General features: G+C 52.0%; 4 annotated features.

The window, feature by feature from the left end:
* Positions 8,510-8,762: a silencer, noted in NCBI's record as "fragment chr16:86960288-86960540 (GRCh37/hg19 assembly coordinates)". NCBI's record gives its function as "represses an EF-1alpha promoter that drives an FKBP-Casp9 reporter gene in an ReSE screen in K562 erythroleukemia cells {active_cell/tissue: K562}" and the evidence as "EXISTENCE:reporter gene assay evidence [ECO:0000049][PMID:32094911]".
* Positions 8,510-9,527: a biological region, named in NCBI's record as "H3K4me1 hESC enhancer GRCh37_chr16:86959523-86960466".
* Positions 8,584-9,527: an enhancer, noted in NCBI's record as "H3K4me1 hESC enhancer chr16:86959523-86960466 (GRCh37/hg19 assembly coordinates)". NCBI's record gives its function as "activates a minimal SCP1, AML or CMV promoter by ChIP-STARR-seq in primed H9 embryonic stem cells {active_cell/tissue: H9 hESC(primed)}" and the evidence as "EXISTENCE:reporter gene assay evidence [ECO:0000049][PMID:30033119]".
* Positions 9,528-10,472: an enhancer, noted in NCBI's record as "H3K4me1 hESC enhancer chr16:86958578-86959522 (GRCh37/hg19 assembly coordinates)". NCBI's record gives its function as "activates a minimal SCP1, AML or CMV promoter by ChIP-STARR-seq in naive and primed H9 embryonic stem cells {active_cell/tissue: H9 hESC(naive and primed)}" and the evidence as "EXISTENCE:reporter gene assay evidence [ECO:0000049][PMID:30033119]".

The following is an 18,293-nucleotide window of genomic DNA, read 5'->3' as shown; positions in this document are numbered from 1 at the left end:
GAGAAGTCTGTTGTCGGCAGCCTGCCCTGAACTTATGAGACCCTGTGTGGATCCTTTGTCTGTGTGTGTGGTTGAGGTGGGTGGAGGCTGTGTTTTGTGCGGGAACCTTGCCTGGGATCTGGTGTTCAGAGACGTACCCCCCTGGGGGATCCTGGGGCTGGGAAGGGGCTGAGAGTGCCTCATCTCTCAAAGATGTTTTCGTCTTGAAAATGGCGTTGGCGGTGCATGGATTAGCTTGAGCACGTGCTTCTACCGCATGCGTGCTGAGTTTGCATCTCATTCACTGGGTGCCTGTCCAAAGGGCAGGAGGGGACTCAGCGTGGACGCTGCACCTCCGCGCTGAGCTTTGTGGTTGCTCTGAGGAGCAAATCTCTGCCATTTCCTGTCTTTGCTCACAGGCCCCCACATAAACCACCAGCTTCCTTAGTTCCCTGACTTGGAGCAGCCTCTGATAGCCTTGTGACCCAGAACAAATCAGCTGGTGACGGCCATCAGAACTCCCGAGTCCTTGCACTGTAACCGAAACTCTTCCGTGGCCCTGGAATGCTGACCTGGTGAACTCTCCCTGACTTCCCAGTGTGCATGGGCTGAGAGCATTGGAGCTGGAAGTGGCTGCCATTCTTGTTGTCCTCTTTCCGGGAGAACTTGTCTGAGCGTGTGGCCGGCAGCCCACCCCGAGCCAGGGCAGAGGGTTCAGAGAGGCTCGTGTGGATCCAGACCCCACGTACCAAGCCCTGTGGCCGTGGGCAGCTGCCTTGCCTTGTGCTTCAGAGCTATGGTCTCGGGTGCACGTTCAAGGGTTGACGTGGGGATTCATGAGCTAATCCCCGGGAAGTGGCCCCACTCCATGCCTGCCCCTAAACCGCTTTCAGTAAATGGCTTCAATCCTTGCATCTCCTATTGCTGTATATCTTTGTATCTATTTTTTAAATCATGAAATATACCAAAGATCTGGAAAATAATGATAGATAACAGCATATCCCCCATCCAGATTTTTAAAGATAGTTTTCAAAGTGAACTTTTTATTAAAGTATAAGTTATAGTCTGAAGAGTGCACAGATCCTAAGGGTGTGGGCTGAGGAATTTTCACAAAATGACCACGCCCGGGTCACCAGCACCCAGACAGAGGAACAGAATATAAGGTTAGGGGTGGTGGCTCATGCCTATAATCCCAGCACTTTGGGAGGGTGAGGCAGGAGGATGGCTTGAGGCCAGGAGTTTGAGATCAGCCTGGGAAACATAGTGAGAGCCCCATCTCTACAAAAAATAAAATAAAATAAAATAAAATAAAATAAAATAAAATAAAATAAATTAGCTGGGTGTGGTGGTGTGTGCCTGTCATCCCCTGTACTTGGGAGGCTGACGTGGGAGGATCACCGGAGCTCAGGAGCTTGAGGCTGCAGTGAGCCATGATTGCACCACTGGACTCCAGCCTGGGCAACAGAGCAAGACCATGTCTCAAAACAAAAACAAAAGAACATGACCACTGAACCCCAGAAGCCCTTAGGCCCCTTTAGTCCCTACCACCTAAGGCCAGTCATTACCCTGATCTCTAACTGAAGAGATTGGTGGTGCCTGTGGTTAAACTTGACAAAACTCCATAGTAATGGAATCCAGCAGCAGGAATCCCTCCCTCATCACCCTATCTGAGAGCCATCCTCAGCTGTGTGGAGCTGTGTGCTCTGCTCGTTCTCATTGCTCTATTGTGTTACTGTGAGAAGAGACCGCACTTGCTGAGCTGATCTCAACATCAAAGGGCATAAGGCAGTTCCTGGGTTTTAACTATTCTGAATAGCGCTGCTGCGAACCTTCCTGCAGATGTCTTCTGATGAACGTATGCACCCATGGTATGGGGCATGCAGCTAGCGTGGAGTTGCTGGGTGACAGGGTGTGCGTGTGCTATGCTGTGTAAGGCACTGCTGAACACTTTTCCAAGGGGTTGGCACCACGCGACCCCCACCGACAGCATCCGGCATCCGGCATCCGGGAACTTGATCCGCTCCACCCCCTCCTCAGTGCTGGGTGACTGCTGCTCACTTTTGCCAGCCTGGAAGGTGTGAAGAGGGGTTGCAATGTGGCTTTAATTTGTATTTCCCGATGGCTGATAGTGATGGCCACTTTCTCATGTTTATTGGCGTCTGGCTATGCCAGCTCTCAGAATTAACCCATGCTCCGTTTTGTCTACTTAAAAACTTAAAGACAGCCAAAGGCTCCTACTCTATCCCATTTCCCTCCTTCCCTTCTTCCCCATCTTTCCAGCCCTAAAGGGAACCTCTATTCAGAAGTTGGGATGTTTCCTTCTGTCCATATTTTTATGCTCTTACCGCACATGTAGGTAGGTACCAAAACCAATACATGTTCTTGCTTCAAATGATCTCCCTGTGAAAACCTTGACTTGATTTTCCTTCCAAGTATTGCCACTTATCCAGGGCTTCTGACTTACTGTCCAGAGGTACTTCTACCAACTCACACAGCCACCCCACACTTTCTCACACTCACACCTCACACTCACACATCTCACACTCACACCTCACACTCACACCACCTCACACACACATCTCACACCACCTCACACACACGTCACACCTCACCTCACACCTTACACTCAGTCACACCTCACACAGGTCACACTTCACCTCACACTTTACACTCACACACCTCACACTCAAACCTCAGAGTCACTCCTCGCACACATCTCACACTCACATCACACCTTATGCTCACACACCTCACACACATCTCACACACCTCACACCTCACACTCATACTTAACACTCACACCTCACCTCACATGTCACACATCACTCTCCAACTCACACTCACACCTCACTCACACACCTCACACACACATATCTCACACTCACACCACCTCACACATCTCAAACCTCACCTCACACCTTGCACTCAGTCACACCTCACACACATCTCACACTTCACCTCACACTTCACATTCACACACCTCACACTCAAACCTCACACTCACGGTCACACCTCACGCACATCTCACACTCATACATCTCACACTCAAGCTCACACTCATACTTCACACTCACACCTCACCTCACACCTCACAATTACACACACACCTCACACTCACATCACACTCCAACCCACACACCTCACACACCCATTATGCTCACATCTCACACACCATACCTCACACACACATCTCACACTCACACCTCACATATCGCACTTGACTCTCACCCTTCACCCTTACATCCACCTCGCACCTCGTACGCCTCACCTCACTCTCACACCACACCTCACTCACACCACACCTCACACTTCCACACCTATTTCCATGTGCCCCAGGCCCGTGTCAGCCCAAGTGCTTCTTTTCACGTCTCTCAAAGGGAAAGGGAGGAAGAGGAGAGCCGTTGGGAAATGTATTCTCCCGATATTGCCCCAAACCCTCCGGTACCAAATACAAGAGCCGACATCGGCTTCATTTCAGAGGTGTGCCAAATGCGCTCAGAGAGGCTCGGTGACCTAAGGCCCCAGAGCTGGCAAGGAGCAGGAGTATTCCAACCCAGCTCTGGCCCTGAGCCCACGCTTTCGTCCCCAGGCAGGGTCATTTCCAGCGAGCTGCGCGCGCTCCTCCAGCCTGATGCTGCGCATGGATCAGCGGGCACCAGGGGCAGCCACCGAGCCGGCCTCCTGCGGCCAACAAGCCAACAAGCAGGGCCGGGCTCACAACGGAGGTCTTCCCAATCTCTCAGATACAGACGATTCCCGCTCAGTGCCTGAAAAATGTTAACATCGGCAGGAGCCGGCGTGGAGCACACATTCCTGACTGCTTTTGGCTGCTCGTCAGCCCCGGTCTTCACACGAGTTTATCTTTATGTAACACAGGCTTTCTAAACACTTCAACATTGCCATGAAATCAAGATAATTTCTGGCAATTAAAGACCTGACTCACCCATTGTTCCTGCGCATTGTCATTCTAGGAAATTCCCTCAAGTGGGGCTCCCGGTGACCCGCCCGCCATGTGTCAGGCCACCTCGCCCCTGGAAAGCAGCTTTTTTCCAGATTTGATCAGAACAAGCTGCTTCTCTCCCCCTGGCCTTTCCCGGAAGGAGCCCACTTTCCCAACGCTTCCTGGGTTCACCTGAATTCCTTACCAACATGTATTTCTTCCACTTTGTTATTTTTGGATTAATGTAAATGAAGTCTGTCTTGGGCTCTCTAAGATAAATGAAAGGGATGCTAGGGTCAGAAGCTTCAGTGTTGGCTCTGCTGGAGAAAGATTAAGGTAAGACTCTGCATAATGCTCTTAAACCTCCCACTTCCTTAGTGTGAGACGAGGAGGAAAAGAGCATGAGGAGAAAAAATGAAGGAAGAGGAAGAGGAGGAAGACAGGGAGGAGGAGGAGAAGGGGGTGGAAGGGGAGGGGGAGGAGGAGGGGGTGGAGGAAGAGGAGGAGTGGGATGAAGAGGAGGAGGGGGAGAAAGGGGAGGGGGAGGAGGAAGAGGAGGAGAGGGATGAAGAGGAGGAGGGGGAGGAAAGGGAGGGGGAGGAGGGGGAAGAAGGGGAGGAGGAGGAGGAAGAGGCGGAGGGGATGAAGAGGAGGAGAAGGAGGAGGGGGAGTAGTCATACCTGCTTCCATCACGCCTGCGTTTTGGACAGCGTGATGGAGGAAAGGAGGGGTGCAGGTATATGTCTTCCCTTTAAGACCACAAGCTGCGAGTTGGGCATCACTGTTGTTCACATCCCAGAATCTAGATGTGGAGTCACACCTACCTGAGACCTTAGGTCTTCACTGAGAACGAAGGGTGGGGTGGTGAATCTTGGGGAAGGGCAGTCACGCACCTGGTTGTGATTAATACGGTCACTTAAGAGAGGGAATGGATGTAGACAGAACTAGCAATTTCCGACACCCATCAGGTTGGTTTTAGTTTGGGGACAGGTATTCTATACAAACCTGTGACTGCATGCAGGGTTATCCCTCCCACGTGCGGCCAAGACTGTGTCTCCTCTTCCCAGCCTGTGTTCATGGAAAGCTGCCTCCTCCCCACCCAGACCAGAGGCGGGTTGTGAGTGCAGGCAGTTTTTGGGAGGTGACCTCAGGAAGTGTAGGGGAGTTGGGAAGGGACCGGGGGAAGGGACGAAACCAATGCAGGGTGGACTGTTGATCAGCTGACCATGGTGGGCAACCGGGGCTCCACCCTCTGGGGAGCGCTGGGAGACTGTCTGGCCCCCTTGGAGTTTGCAGCCGAGCAGGGTTTTATGTTGCAGGGCTTCACCGTCCCTGGCCCAGGGCTGCTCCTGATGACAGTGGCTCCTGGGCATTTGTGGGCTGCCTGTCTGTGAGGGGGCCTTTTTATAAGGACACCATCATAGCGGTTTAGAGGCCAATCCTACTCCAGCATGACTTCAGCTCAACTAATTACATCTTCTAGGGCCCTATTTCCAAATAAGGTCACATTCGGAGGCACTGGCAGTTTGGATGGCAACGTAAGAATTTTTGGGGAACACAATGGATTCATAACAGGGTGGGAGAAGGGGCAGAGGGGGCACTGAGGAGAGTTTCATGGCAAACACTTGATGTTTGGGCGAGCACTCAGCGCCGTCGTGCGCCGTCGTCTCTTGGGAGGAGCTCTGCTCCCTGTTGGACTTCCTTCCATTTATTGTGTCACTCACTCCTGCCCCTAGGGCTGAACGCCTCGAGGGTGGAGAGGCACCGTCACCTTCTCAGCCTGGAGAGCTCTGTCCAGCTCTGCAGACGAGGCCCTGGAAGCTCACCTGAAGCCGACGAAGGGAGGAGGGAGTGGAGTGCCCACTGCCCGGGCTAGGGCAGCCAGACCCTGGCGGCTTCGTGGCAGCTGCTGTACTCATTGCCAGCTTCAGGGCGGTGGGACCACGGAGGAAGAACGTGAACGCCTGGACTCCCACTTGGAATCTGAATGCAGTCCAGGGATTTGGCATTTGAGTCCCTAGAGCTCGTTGCTAGCCATCCTCCTCCCCGGCGAGAATAATCCATTTCAAACTTCTGAGCTGTCTAGACTTGTTATCTGGCCCCCTAATTCCTGAGAGCCTAGAGCGGGCAGCAGCGGGACCGCCGAGATAGCAAGGGGGTGAGGTCATTGGCGCGGTCCCGAGGCAGGAAGTCCATTCCGGGGGACGATGGATGAGTGTGGAGCTGGTGCCCGAACGGGGCCAGATAACGCGTCTAGACCCGGCAGGCCGTTTCCTCCTCTTCCCCGGTGTCCTATCGGCATCCTCCTGCCTTCCTGCTGCTCTTCCGAGCCTCTCTGGAGAAGCCTCTCAGGAGGTTTTACTTCATTTTCAGTGTAAGGGGCGGCCGGTGTCTCTTGGCCTCGGCTAGGTGTGGGCGCGTTTTCTAAGTCACAGTGACGGTGGGGCCGGGAGGCCTTTCTGGAGAGGCCGTGCTGGCCTCTGTCACTTTGTCCTTTCAGAGAGTTCAGTGGGTTAGGGGAAAAATGACGTTTTCTCTCCCTGGTCTCCAAAGGTCAGTGGAAGGCCAGTGGTGGGACTGGGAGGACAGGAGTTGATGTCAAACAGACCCAGAAATTTCCACAAGTCCTGGGGGACAAAAGAGCCTGGAGCAAGTCTTATCTAAGACAGCCCCTGGGAGCCGCAGAATGCCGAATAAACTCGCCTTTCCGGAAGGAGTGGCTAATTTCATTGGCCCATGTGCACTCTGGCTGATCTTGAATCCTGGGGCTAGGGTTGGACAAGAGGTCAAAAGGTCATTTGGTTCAATCCCCTGCCTCCAGGCAGGATTCCCCCAGCAAAGAGGAATCGTGTGTGTTCCAATATTCAAAGACACACGTGGGGGCTGCAGGAGAGGAAGTGGCCTCCGGAGCACCTGCGGGGGTGGATGAAGTGGTAATCCCCACCAGCTGTGCTGAGTCTCTGAGCCCCAATAGTGCTGTGGGTTTGGAACAACTGCATTGTGGGGAACATCTGTGCAGAAGGGTACGGTGTGTCAGGAGGGCCACTGCCACCCCAATGATGATGACAACGGTAAAAGCAAAAATGAATTGAGCACGCACTGATGCCAGCTGATGTCAAGTGGCTGGACAAATGCTGGTGAATCTCATTTAATCATAAAATAAACCTGGGCAGGGGCTGTCATAATTATGCCCCAACTGAGGCTCAAAGGAAAGGTGTCTGCCGAAGGCACCTGGTTTGTAAGAAGTAGGGTGGGAATGTGAGCCCAGGTGAGGCTGCTTTCAGAGCTCAGGATGGAATAGCTCAACTCTTCTGCCCTAAACACATGTGTTCGATTCATGAAGGTCTCTGTGTCTTGTTTATTGCCTGGTGGACAGGTGGGGGTGGCTGAGGGTGGCACAGGCTACACAGCTAATGAACAAGAGGTCAGGATGCTAACTCATATCTCTAGACCCCACATTCTCACCAACCCCTCCCTGTTCCCCCATAAGCAGTATCCCCCTGGCAAAACATGTTCCCTTTCCATGGGAAAAGTAATATTTATAAAGAAGGGCCTGTCTGCAGGGGACCAGCTAAATACATAGATAATGAACAGGCTGTTCGAGGGAGTAGTATACAGCCATGAAAAGGAATCAGAGCTCTTTACATGCCAACATCTACTTATCACCAAAAGAGATGACTGAAAACAGCAAGGTGCAGGGCAGTGTGGATAGTGTGTGTGTACATACATACATGCATGCGTGTGTGTGTGTATACAGTCAAGCACTGCATAACCACGTTTCAGCCAATGGTGGAGTGCATATACAATGGTGGTCTCATGAGATGATCATGCCATATTTTTATTGTCCTTTTTGTTGTTTAGATACACAAATACTTACCATTGTGTTGCAGTTGCCTACAGTATTCAGTGTATAACATGCTGTACAGGTTTGTAGCCTTGGAGCAATAGACTCTACCGTACAGCCTAGGTGTCTAACAGGCTGTACCATCTAGGTGTGTGTAAGTGCACTCTAAGATGTTAACAGAGTGACAGAAACATGTAGTGATGCATTTGTCAGAATGTATCTCTGTCTTTAGGTGGTGCATGACTGTGTATGTATATATATGTATGTATATACTTACATGTGTGGAAGGATATGCACTTACCTACTTTTATGCATGTAAGTATATGCTTACAGGCCTAAAACATCTGAAAATATAGGCACCCCTGGGAAGGTGGCTGTGGGAACAGGTGAGAGGGAGATACCTTTTTGTATCTTGAATTTTTAGCAAGGTGACTGACCTTAAAAAGAAAACAAAAACTCCATCCTGTTTTTTAAACAGAGTTGTTCTCATGAATAATAAACAGGCCCCCTTTGTGCAAATAAAACCTCTTGTCTTGCCTCCCCAGGTGTCTCAGAAGTGAGCCAAGGGCATACCTGTGGGCAGTGAGTGTCCCAGCCTGGAGCCGGGCATGGGTGCTCGGTGCCCACAGCTGCACCCCTGTCCACCTACCCCTGGATGGAGTTGCTCAGTCCTGGGGCCAGGTGATGCACTAACCCCGACAGGGTTTTGCAGCCCTGAGATTCTAGAACCCCCTATAGAAGCCACAGTCCTCAGTCCCATCAGCGCCCAAGCACACTTTCCTGCTGGTTCAGCAAAAAGTTTCTTGTAAGAACTTTAAATGCCTTCTCTGAGGCAAGAGGCTGGAACCCTGCAGGCGCTGACACCTAAGTATTTACCAGCCTCCCCAGAACTCGGACTTTCTGCCTTGCCCGTGGAGAGGGGCAGGGGTTATCTGCGGGTGGGCAGTTGGGGCTGCCCTGGGCCCTCCCTCCCTGTGGCATCTGCTAAAGCCATTAAGGTCCCTCCCTTCTCAGCAACAGTCAGTGTCTTCTTAGTGCCCAGCTCAGGTTTCTGACCTCCAAGGAGTCCAAAGTCTTCGCAGATCCCAGGGCCAAAAGGACTTTTCATAATTCGGATGAAGAAAGGCAGGGGACTCGGGATGGCCGGGAAGAGGAACAAAGGCAAACGCACCCCCTTCAGAAATAGATCTGAGGCCCCTCGGACGCTGCATGCTCCAAAGACAGCTGGCGGGTGGGAGGGTGACATTTGTTCCTGTCGCCCGGGGTCTGGAGGCAGTGCTGACAAATGGCCATGCCAGTGCCCTGTGGGAGGCTGGGAACAAACTTTTAAAAGTCACGGAGACCCCGGGTCAGACAGCTCGGTGAGGGGCCGGCGCTGCTCGCCGCGGAAGGTTGGACGAGTCAGGCAATGCATGCGGCCTCTGTGTTCCCATCTGCATGATGGGACCAGTAACTCCCGTTTCTCGAGGTGTCATGGTGATTGGATGAGAGGATGCAGGGCAACTGTGTGGCAGAGAAGATGAGCAGGACAGCAGCTCCTGCAGGGCATGCTCACTGCCCACCCTGCTTCTGAGAACTGTGCCCCTAGCAACTCAGTCCTCACACGACGCCCTGCAGCAATCCTCTATTCCCATTTCACAGACAAGGAGGAGCCAAGAGAATGAAGAAACTTGCCCCAGGTCTCAGAGCTAGTGAGTGGCAGAGGCTGGATTCGAACCTGGGCCTAAGCCTGCTGCCTTTATCCGTTGCCCCATCTGCAGCCAAGCCTGGCTTCCCAGAGAGTCACCGATGCGGGCTGCCTCCAAGGGCACGGTGGTTGTCCTCAGCAGCGGGTTCCTGCAAACTCACCCCCATCTGGTCTGTGCAGGTGAGCTTTGATTCAAGGCCTGTGGAGGTTCCCCAGACTCTGCGGAACCTAGAGGATGCCCTTTCTCAAGGCCCGGCGAGGGAGGAATCCATTCTCTCCGCAATCTCCAGAGAGATTTATGCTGCTTGGCGGGCCGGCATGCATGATTACATTTCCTTCTCTCTCATTAATCATCCCTGGGCTCATTCCTCCTGACAGCCAGGAGCCGCAGCCTGCAAGCCAGAGATCTCCAATCTGGCTGTTGAGAACCTGGTGAAGAGGCCGGCGGCTTATCTGCGGAGGAGGGCTTCGCACTGCCCTGCAGAAAGGGTGCTGGGCTGCCTCCCTACCCAAACCTCCGTGTCCTCCAGGAAGGGGCCCCTGCCTCCCTGGAAGCCAGGCACCGACGGGCTTACTCCACACAGGGCAGAAGAACCCCCGATACTGGCCGGCCATCAGCTCCAATGCCATGCTGGGATGGTGGCCATCACTTCTCATTCATTTTCTACTGTTTATTAAGAATTTACAACAAGCTGGTGCTGTGCCAAGCACTTTACTTTTATGGCCTTAGTGAATTGTCTCAAAGTCCTTTGAGGGACATAAAGCCTTCCGTCCTGCCTTCCACCATGGGGCATGGGGTTCCACCCTTCAAACCTGCTTTTTAACAGCTTTAGGGAGATGTAATTCGAATGTCATGCAATTCATCCATTCTAAGTGTCCAGTTCAATGGCTTTTAGTATATTCACAGATATGTACAACCACCACCCCAGTCAATTTTAGAACTTATCACCCCGGAAAGAAACCTTTGCATCCTTTAGCCATGATCACGAATCTTCCCATTCTCCAGCCCTAAATGGCCCTGTCTCTTGGTGCATATTCAGTTAACAGACAGTAATTGCTTATATGCCAGCCTGTGGCCCCAGCCTTTCCTGGGTCCTGGTTCCCTCACCCCAAGTCTCTGCAGCCTCCAAGGCTTCTTGCTGGCGTGCTAGTGAACCTCGGGTGGGGTGTGTGACTCAACCCGCAGAGCCGCCCCAGCTGGGATTCTGACTGGAGGAGGTGGGCGAGATGGGGAGAGGTGGGCTTAAGGCCCAGTGGGAGAGGGGCAGAGGAGTCACCAGGGATTATGACTCAGGGCAGTGAGTAGAGAGGAGCCCTGAGTTGTGTTGACACAGGAGGCATAGCTAGGAGTCGGGGCCAAATGAGGAGGGAACATGGGATAGGTGCTTGGGGTGGGGAAATGGCACTTGCAGAGATGTGGAGGGAAGAACACAGGGTCCCTGTGGAGCTGCAGCAAACTTGGCCTGAAGCTGCAGACCACCAGTGGGGTGAGGGAGGGGAGGGACAGGCAGGAGACAGTCCAGGAGATGAGGGCACGCAGGATCCCAGGGGAAGGGACTTGCCGGGGCTCAGACCACACAGTCTCTGGCCTCACCCTCCCCTGGGCGTAGACCCCTGGAAAGCAGAGATGTTTCAGAGGTCTCCATGTTCCCAGCTCCCAGGCCAGCAACCCAGGATCTCAAAGAGGAGGAGCTGGTTTGGCTGCAGAGCACGATGATGGCACCCACTGGAGGCCTAGTGGCAGTGACCACCTGGACCCAGCCTCGCCAGCACCTCGCCTATGCAGACATCAAAGCTCATGCCACAGGCTGGGTCTGGCTGCCTGAAGTAGGAGATCTGGGCGCATTTGCTGCTGGTGGGTTGCATTGTGAGGCATTTTTGAGGGTACTGGTGCCATAGGGATGGCATAGCTGGCTTTTGCAGATGCCATTATTTTAATACCATCATTGCCCATCATTTGGGAGGTGAGACATGAGCCCCAAATCACAGACTGACAGGACATCACAGAAAACACCCCACCCACGGCAACAGCTCCATGTTTTGCTCAAATGCCTCGCGTGAATGCACTGTTTTATGTGTGACCTCTTTTGCCTTCTCTGGCGGAGACCAATCAGTGGCTCATCAAGCCAGTTTCCTCTTTTTTATCCCCTGGAAATACAGCTGGACTTTCTGTTTCCTAGCCTCCCTTGCAATTAGCTGTGGTAATGTGACTGAGTCTAGCCAATGGCCCAGGAAAATCTCCCTTCCAAGATTCTCTCTTCCTTCCCTATTTTCCAGTGAAATGCAGTAGACTCTGAGGTCCTGGAAGACCACAAGACAAAATTCCCACCAGGAAGAGATCTGCCTGTTAGTTAAGTCAGGAACATTGGTTTGGACTTTACATGATGGAGTTATAAACATCTATTGTGCTAAGCCACTTTTATTTGGGGGGTTGTTACAGCACCTAGCATTAGCCTAATACACCTCTCTGGTTGAAAGATTTTGTCTACCAGAAAATTGAACTTATTTTTTCAAAATGAATTATTTTTTCCATTGTATCAATTAAAGACATATGTAACTTCAAGGTAAATAGGCATTTTTTTTGGAATAGCTATAAAGACTTTATAATAGCTTTCACAACTGTCTTCATCAACTCTTAAGGTTTGGGGCACCCAAGATGGGAACTCCTGGTCCAAGAGATTATAGATAGTGGAAATCCAGACCCAGGAGGGGTGTGTGATTTGTCTGGGATCACACATGTGTGTAGCTGAGTCAGGGCCACATTCCGCTGGGCTCAGGTAGAGGTGGGCTGTGTCTCAGTCTGCTTGGGCTGCCATAACGAAATACACAGACTGGGTGGCTTCAACAACAGATGTTTATTTCTTAGAGTTTTGGAGGCTGTGCATGGTTGGGTCTGGTGATGGTGCTCTTCCCGGCTTGTGGAGGGCTGCCTTCTTGCCAGGTCTTCATGTGGCAGAGAGAAGGGCAGAGAGCTTCCTGGTGTCTCTTCTTTTATGGACACTAATCCCAGCATGAGAGTCCCATCCTCATGACCTCATCTATACTGAATCACCTCCCAAATACCATTACGTTGTGGATGAGGGCTTCAACATATGAACCGGGGGGACACTGTTCAGTCCTTAGTAGATTGTGTCTGCATTCTCTCAAACTATTGGTTGATTTTTCCCTCTATTTTTGTCCAGAAGATTTTTGCTGCAAGGAATAGCCTTCAACTTTGAAGTGATGAATCAATAATGTATATCTGCATTTCCCATTTCATGAGCCATTTTCCAAGAACATTATTTTCCATGTTTACATCATGTTCGGTTTTAATATGCATGTCAGAATTTACATAGCCAATCTCTTATTGTTCGACATTTAGGTTCTCTATTTTTGAAAAGCAACTGGGCTTCTGGGGAACATTTTGCATTTTGCAGTCCTTCAGCCTTATTTCTTATCACTGTGGTTTTGCAGGCACGGCTTCCTATTGAATAAATTTTCTAAGGTTTTGGCAAGCCCCCGATCTTGGTCTTTAAAGTTAGATGCTGTTTTTGACCAGCATGAAAGCAACACTAGAGAGTGAGAGAGAAGGTCTCAGCCAGGGCAGAGGAAGTCTGTCCTCCCCTCCCCACCCTCCCAGCCACTCCCGGGGTCACCGAGAGAAAGAGTGGCCGGGAACCCTGCAGGTTATGATGGCACCCTGGTAACCCCTGAATGTCCTAGGACAGGAAGTGACCAGAATTGCTTTCAGTGACTTGAGGAATATTCAAGACCAGTCCATTGGTGACTTCGCATGCCATGACTTGAAGCTTGAAAATAATCTGGGTTGACTTCCTTAGCTTAAAAATCAGTTATAAAGGTGAAAAGACACTCGCCATTCTCTTAAAACATTTAGGATTTACCATCTTCCCTTTCCTTCCCCTTCCCCTTCCTCCTTCCCCAGAATTGGGAGATTGCTAATGTCTTCTTCTAGCTCTTTATTGTGGTAACTAATTCTCTCTCTCTCTCTCACACACACTCTCATGGATATGTATATATATATATACTTTACACATGAGGACATATATATCCATAAGAAATAATTGATGGTTTGTATGTGTGTTTATATAAATCATATCATACTATATGTATCAACCTAAAATTTAAGTTTTTTCAGAAGCTCTGTTACTGTGGACAGATCTAACTTGTTCTTCTTAACGGCTGCAGCATGCATCATCTGAATAGCTTTAGAAGTCTGTTAAAATGCACATGGGTCCCTAGGGGGAAGGCCTTCGAAATCAAAGTGGGGTGGTCTCCCTGCTTTTCTAAGTTGCCCTCTGCTTGGGGCCAGAGAGATCTGAACACAACTGGAATTTGAAGGGACAAAAGCTCAACAAGGCTCAGCGGAACGTGCAGGACAGGACCCATCCCAGGCGAGTGAGAGGGGAGTGGCTGGATAAGTCTCAATGCACTCAAAATAATGCAAATCTTAGCAGCCACAGCAGTAAGGACCACCAGTTACTGAATAACCGCCATGCAGAGCACAGCCTCATTCAGAGTCTCATCACCAGCTTTCACATGGGAATACTGTGTTCCTGTTTCAAAGATGAACACAGACATGGTCAGTAGCTGTTGGCCCAATGTTACAGCTAGTGTGTGGTGGAGCTGGGACTCACCCAGTCCTTCTGCTTTCAAATGCCAGTATGTGAGAGTAGGGGAGCAGCTGTCTGCTGGTTGTCACCTTTTATTTTTAAATAGCATGGAACACAAAGAGTGATGGGGCAGAGGGTGGCACAATAACACACTGAGGTCAGACGTGGTAGTGAACAATGACCTGGGTCCCACTCAGGGCTGGGATCGTCTCCACCTCTGTGCTGGTTGAGAGAACTCCCTCCCCCTCCATTAGAACCTGGTCAGTCAGTTCCAGTTCACCAGATTCTGAGCCCCGGAGCCTCCACCAAATGGAATGTTCCATGAGGTGGAAGGGGAGTACAAGACACGTCGCCACTGAGAAAGTTCGGGAGTTCAGACGCCACTGACTTTTATGTTCCTAAATCAGGGGCCTTCGAGGTTAGCCCTACTATAAAATCACTCTCATTTCAGATTGTCTGCTTGAGTGGGAGACATAGAGCCAAACCCATGGCTTGTCATGGGAAAATCACATGTAACCACCGCTGTACCTGCATGGGCTGCTTACGGGGGTTGGGCTGGAAAACTTGACCATAGTCTACAAGCTCTGCAGTTAACAGGAAGAATCTTCTGCACTCCTTCTGGTCTTACTGCCCAAGTCAAGCCTGGAGGACCTTAAGGAGAGTCACCAGCTTTCTCTTGCTCTGCCGTGTTGGCCAGCATCTATTTTACATTTGAATGACTCCTCAATGCCTACTACTAGGGAGAATCCACCTGGAATCCAGATTTTTCCTTCTAAATACCAGGAGATCTGATCACACCGGGCCCCAAATCCCTCCTGGCAATGACCGGAGCCCATGTTCTCTATAGGCAAGTCCCTGAGAGGCTGTTTTCTTTCTCCTCAAGGCGGGAGGCCAAGGGCCACTCATGCTTCATCTTCTCCCACCTGGCCTGCTTCCCTCACTGAAATAAGGGTTGATGTGTTTATATGTAAATGTATGCAGTACGCAGTCACCTCCCGCCCTGGAAGACCTTGGAGTTGGAGTCTGATCCTTCCTGTGAAGTGTTCATGGTGGACATTGAGCCACAGAGCTCCTGCTGGCAAGATGGCACCTTGGTGCGAAAGACAAAAGGGCCCCCTGGGGGAGCAGACAGTACACAGGTGCCCCCGTGGGTAATGAATTCCCCAGGGCTGTGCTGGGCTTGGCTTCATTCTCCTCAGCAGCCCTATTTGTGTGGCCATGGGTGAATCTGGGAGCCCGACAGCAAGGACATCGCCTGCCGTTACTCAGCTCTTCCGATTCGATGTGCACCGAGCCTGGTCACCTGCTAGCAGGGACACATGCCTGAGGTCCTCCTGCAGGCCAGGTTTCCTGCCAGTGCTGGGAGCCTGGAGTGGGTGTCGGCTAGGGTTTCCTCTGTCCTCCTCCCCACCCCTTGGCTCCCAGACCATCCATCAGCCCACAGCTCACCTGTGAAACCCAAGGCTGGGAACCGCGGTGCTATTCTGTTACAAAATCAAGATTTATCGGAACATGACAGGCCTGGAGGGGTTTTATGACATGCACGGCGCCAATCCCTCCTGTTGACCTATTTGTCCCCGGTGGGGCGGGGCGTTTTACGACTGCCGACACCACTCCATCTGCTCCTGGGCTCGCAGCGTTTTGACAGGGAGGACAAAATGTCCAGCCTGGGCCAGACTCCGCGGGCTGGATTATCACTTCAGCACTGAGCACTCAGCCCCTTCCCCTTGGAGAAAGACCTCAAGCCCCGCTCCCCCCGCCCCGGCTCGGCCTGGTGTGAATGAAATTCAAATCGAGCTCTGACAGCCCCATGAATTGTCTGTTTTCCAACCTGCCTCCCGCTCTTTCATCTTCATGGCAGAAACAGTGAAATCATCCGTTCCCATCTCTACAAAGGCCCCACCACACCCCAATTGCCTGTGTCTCGAGAGAAACGTGGTGTGGGGACCATTTGGAGCCTCTTTAAAAACGAGGTCACCACATCCTGAGGCTGCCTGGGAATTGCCATTCGGCAAGGTAGGGAGGGACCCCGGGGGTGACCAGGACACTGGGCCAGCTCTTCTAATGATTTAGTTAAAGAGTTAAGTCGTGTTTACATGAAATGGAACCCGTCAGGAAATTGGAAGCTCTCGGCCTTGCTGTGAGTTCTGCCTCGTCCAACACTGTTCCCCCACTGTATGTCCGCCCTGGGCGCGGAGCTGGGATGGGTTTTATTTTATTAAAGGGGCAGGGTTTCTTTCTGTTTACTTGGTGTGCTCCCTTCTTTATCAGCCTGAGTCCTGGCTCTGGGATGGGGAAGCTGAGAGATGTTTGATGTTCAGAAAAGGAGGCTGAAAAGGGCTTCTCTTGGGTGGGTAGAAGGGGCAGCACCCCTGAAGATTGCTTCCCGCTGAGAAGGGTCCCGGCCAGAGGGTGACGCAGGCTGGTGTGCGCTGAGACCAGGGTAGGAAGGGAGTGTGTGGGGAGTGAGGAATAAGAACAGCCGTTGATATTGCTGGCAGTGGGCGCTGCCCAGGCCTGGACTCATCATTTCCGGAAGCCAGTGCAGGAGAGAGTTTGTGATTCTCATTTTGCTGGTGAGGCCATCGTGCCACTGACTCACTCAGTATAAAAAAGATGGTCTGCAGCAGGGCTGGGGTGGGAACCCAACTGATGCCACCCTCGTTCCCAGGAGGAAGCAGTTTGGGCCTGCTGATAACAAGATCTTCTATGATTGCCCTGGTGTCATTTAATTGCCACATCTGTACATTGGGCTCGTGAAATCTACCTCACAGGGTTTTCAGTCTCAACTGAGAGTTGACATATTGATAAACATATTCAGTATGCAGTGAGCACTCAATAGTTGTTCACGGACTCTTGTTGTGAGCCTTGGAGTCAAAGGAACTGGGCTGGAAGCCCTGGTTTGGCCCCTAACAGCCGAGTGACCTCGGGCAAGTCGTCACCCGCTGAGCCTCGAGTCACGTTTCTGAGCCTCCGGCTCATATCTGTCCAATCGGGAGACACAGCACCCACCTCCTGGTCACGGGGGCTCTCACAAGATGCTGCAGGTAACATGCTTGGTGAGATGTGCAGTAAGGGCTCACTAGATGTTTGCCCCATGGGGAGAGCCACCAGGGGGTTGTTACTGCTGCGGTTTCCCAGGTCTCCAACTGCATCCCTGGAAAACAGCTGCTGAGAGCCTCCGGGCCGGTAAGCCAGAGGCCAGAGCCCAGAGGCCATGCCTTACCTGGGCGTGGGCTGCTCCTTTCCTGGATCTGCAGATGCTCCCGTGGGCCGGATCACACCACGGCTGTGGTCTGTGGCCCAAGGGCCCACGGGAGCTGCAGCAGCCTTTGCTGGCCTGGATGGTCTGCGTACTTTCGTTTGGAAATCAGAACTAAGAAACACCGGCCCAGGCAGCCCGCACGGTTTCATCCCCAGTGCCCGCTGAAGCCCTCGCCAGGAGACCGTCAGGATGCCAGGGTCTACAGAAGTTAACACAGCTGAACTGGCTGTGACCTGAGCTTAGACTCCGAGGGTGTGCTGTGCTGGGTCCATCTAAATGGGAAGCCCTTCTCCAGGCCCTGCAACCCCGAGGAGACAGCAGAGCTCCGAGGTGGGCCCGACATCACCCTCACAGGCCCCCAAGATGAGAAGGATGTGTGGAAGGATTCACATGGAGGCCATGGCAGCACGCAAGGAGCCCCCCTGCTGTGAGCGCCACCCACGCACCCGCCCGTCCCGCGCCGAGCGCCACCCGCGCGCCCGCCCGTCCTCTAGGCTCTTCAGCGATCACCCACACCTGGATGCGGGCGGTGCTGCTGAAAGGCCATAGAATCACGGGAATGCACAGGGGCACAGCCGCTCTGGAGGACAGTCCGAAAGTTTCCTACAAAACGGAACATGCTCTTACCGCACGCTCCAGCAGTCACGATCCTTGGTATTTACCCAAAGAAGTTGTAAACCTCTGTCCACACAAAAACCTGCACACAGATGTGTCGCAGTTTCATTCTAATTTTCAAAACCCGGAAGCAACCCAGATGTCCTTCAGCACCGAGTGGATAAATACGCGGTGGGACGTGGCCGTGGAATATTATTCAGCAGTAAAAGGAAATGAGCTGCCAGGCCTTGGGAGGACATGGAGAAGCCTTCAATGCCTACTGCTCAGTGGAAGAAGCCCATCGGAAAAGACCACACTCTGTAGGATCCATCTGGATGACATTCTGGAAAAGGCAAAACTACGGAGATAGTGAG

This window comes from Homo sapiens, chromosome 16 (genome assembly GCF_000001405.40).
Source record: "Homo sapiens chromosome 16, GRCh38.p14 Primary Assembly".
Lineage (NCBI taxonomy): Eukaryota > Metazoa > Chordata > Mammalia > Primates > Hominidae > Homo > Homo sapiens.
The sequence above is the reverse complement of the archived record's forward strand: the minus strand, read 5'-3'. Positions and strand labels throughout refer to the sequence as shown.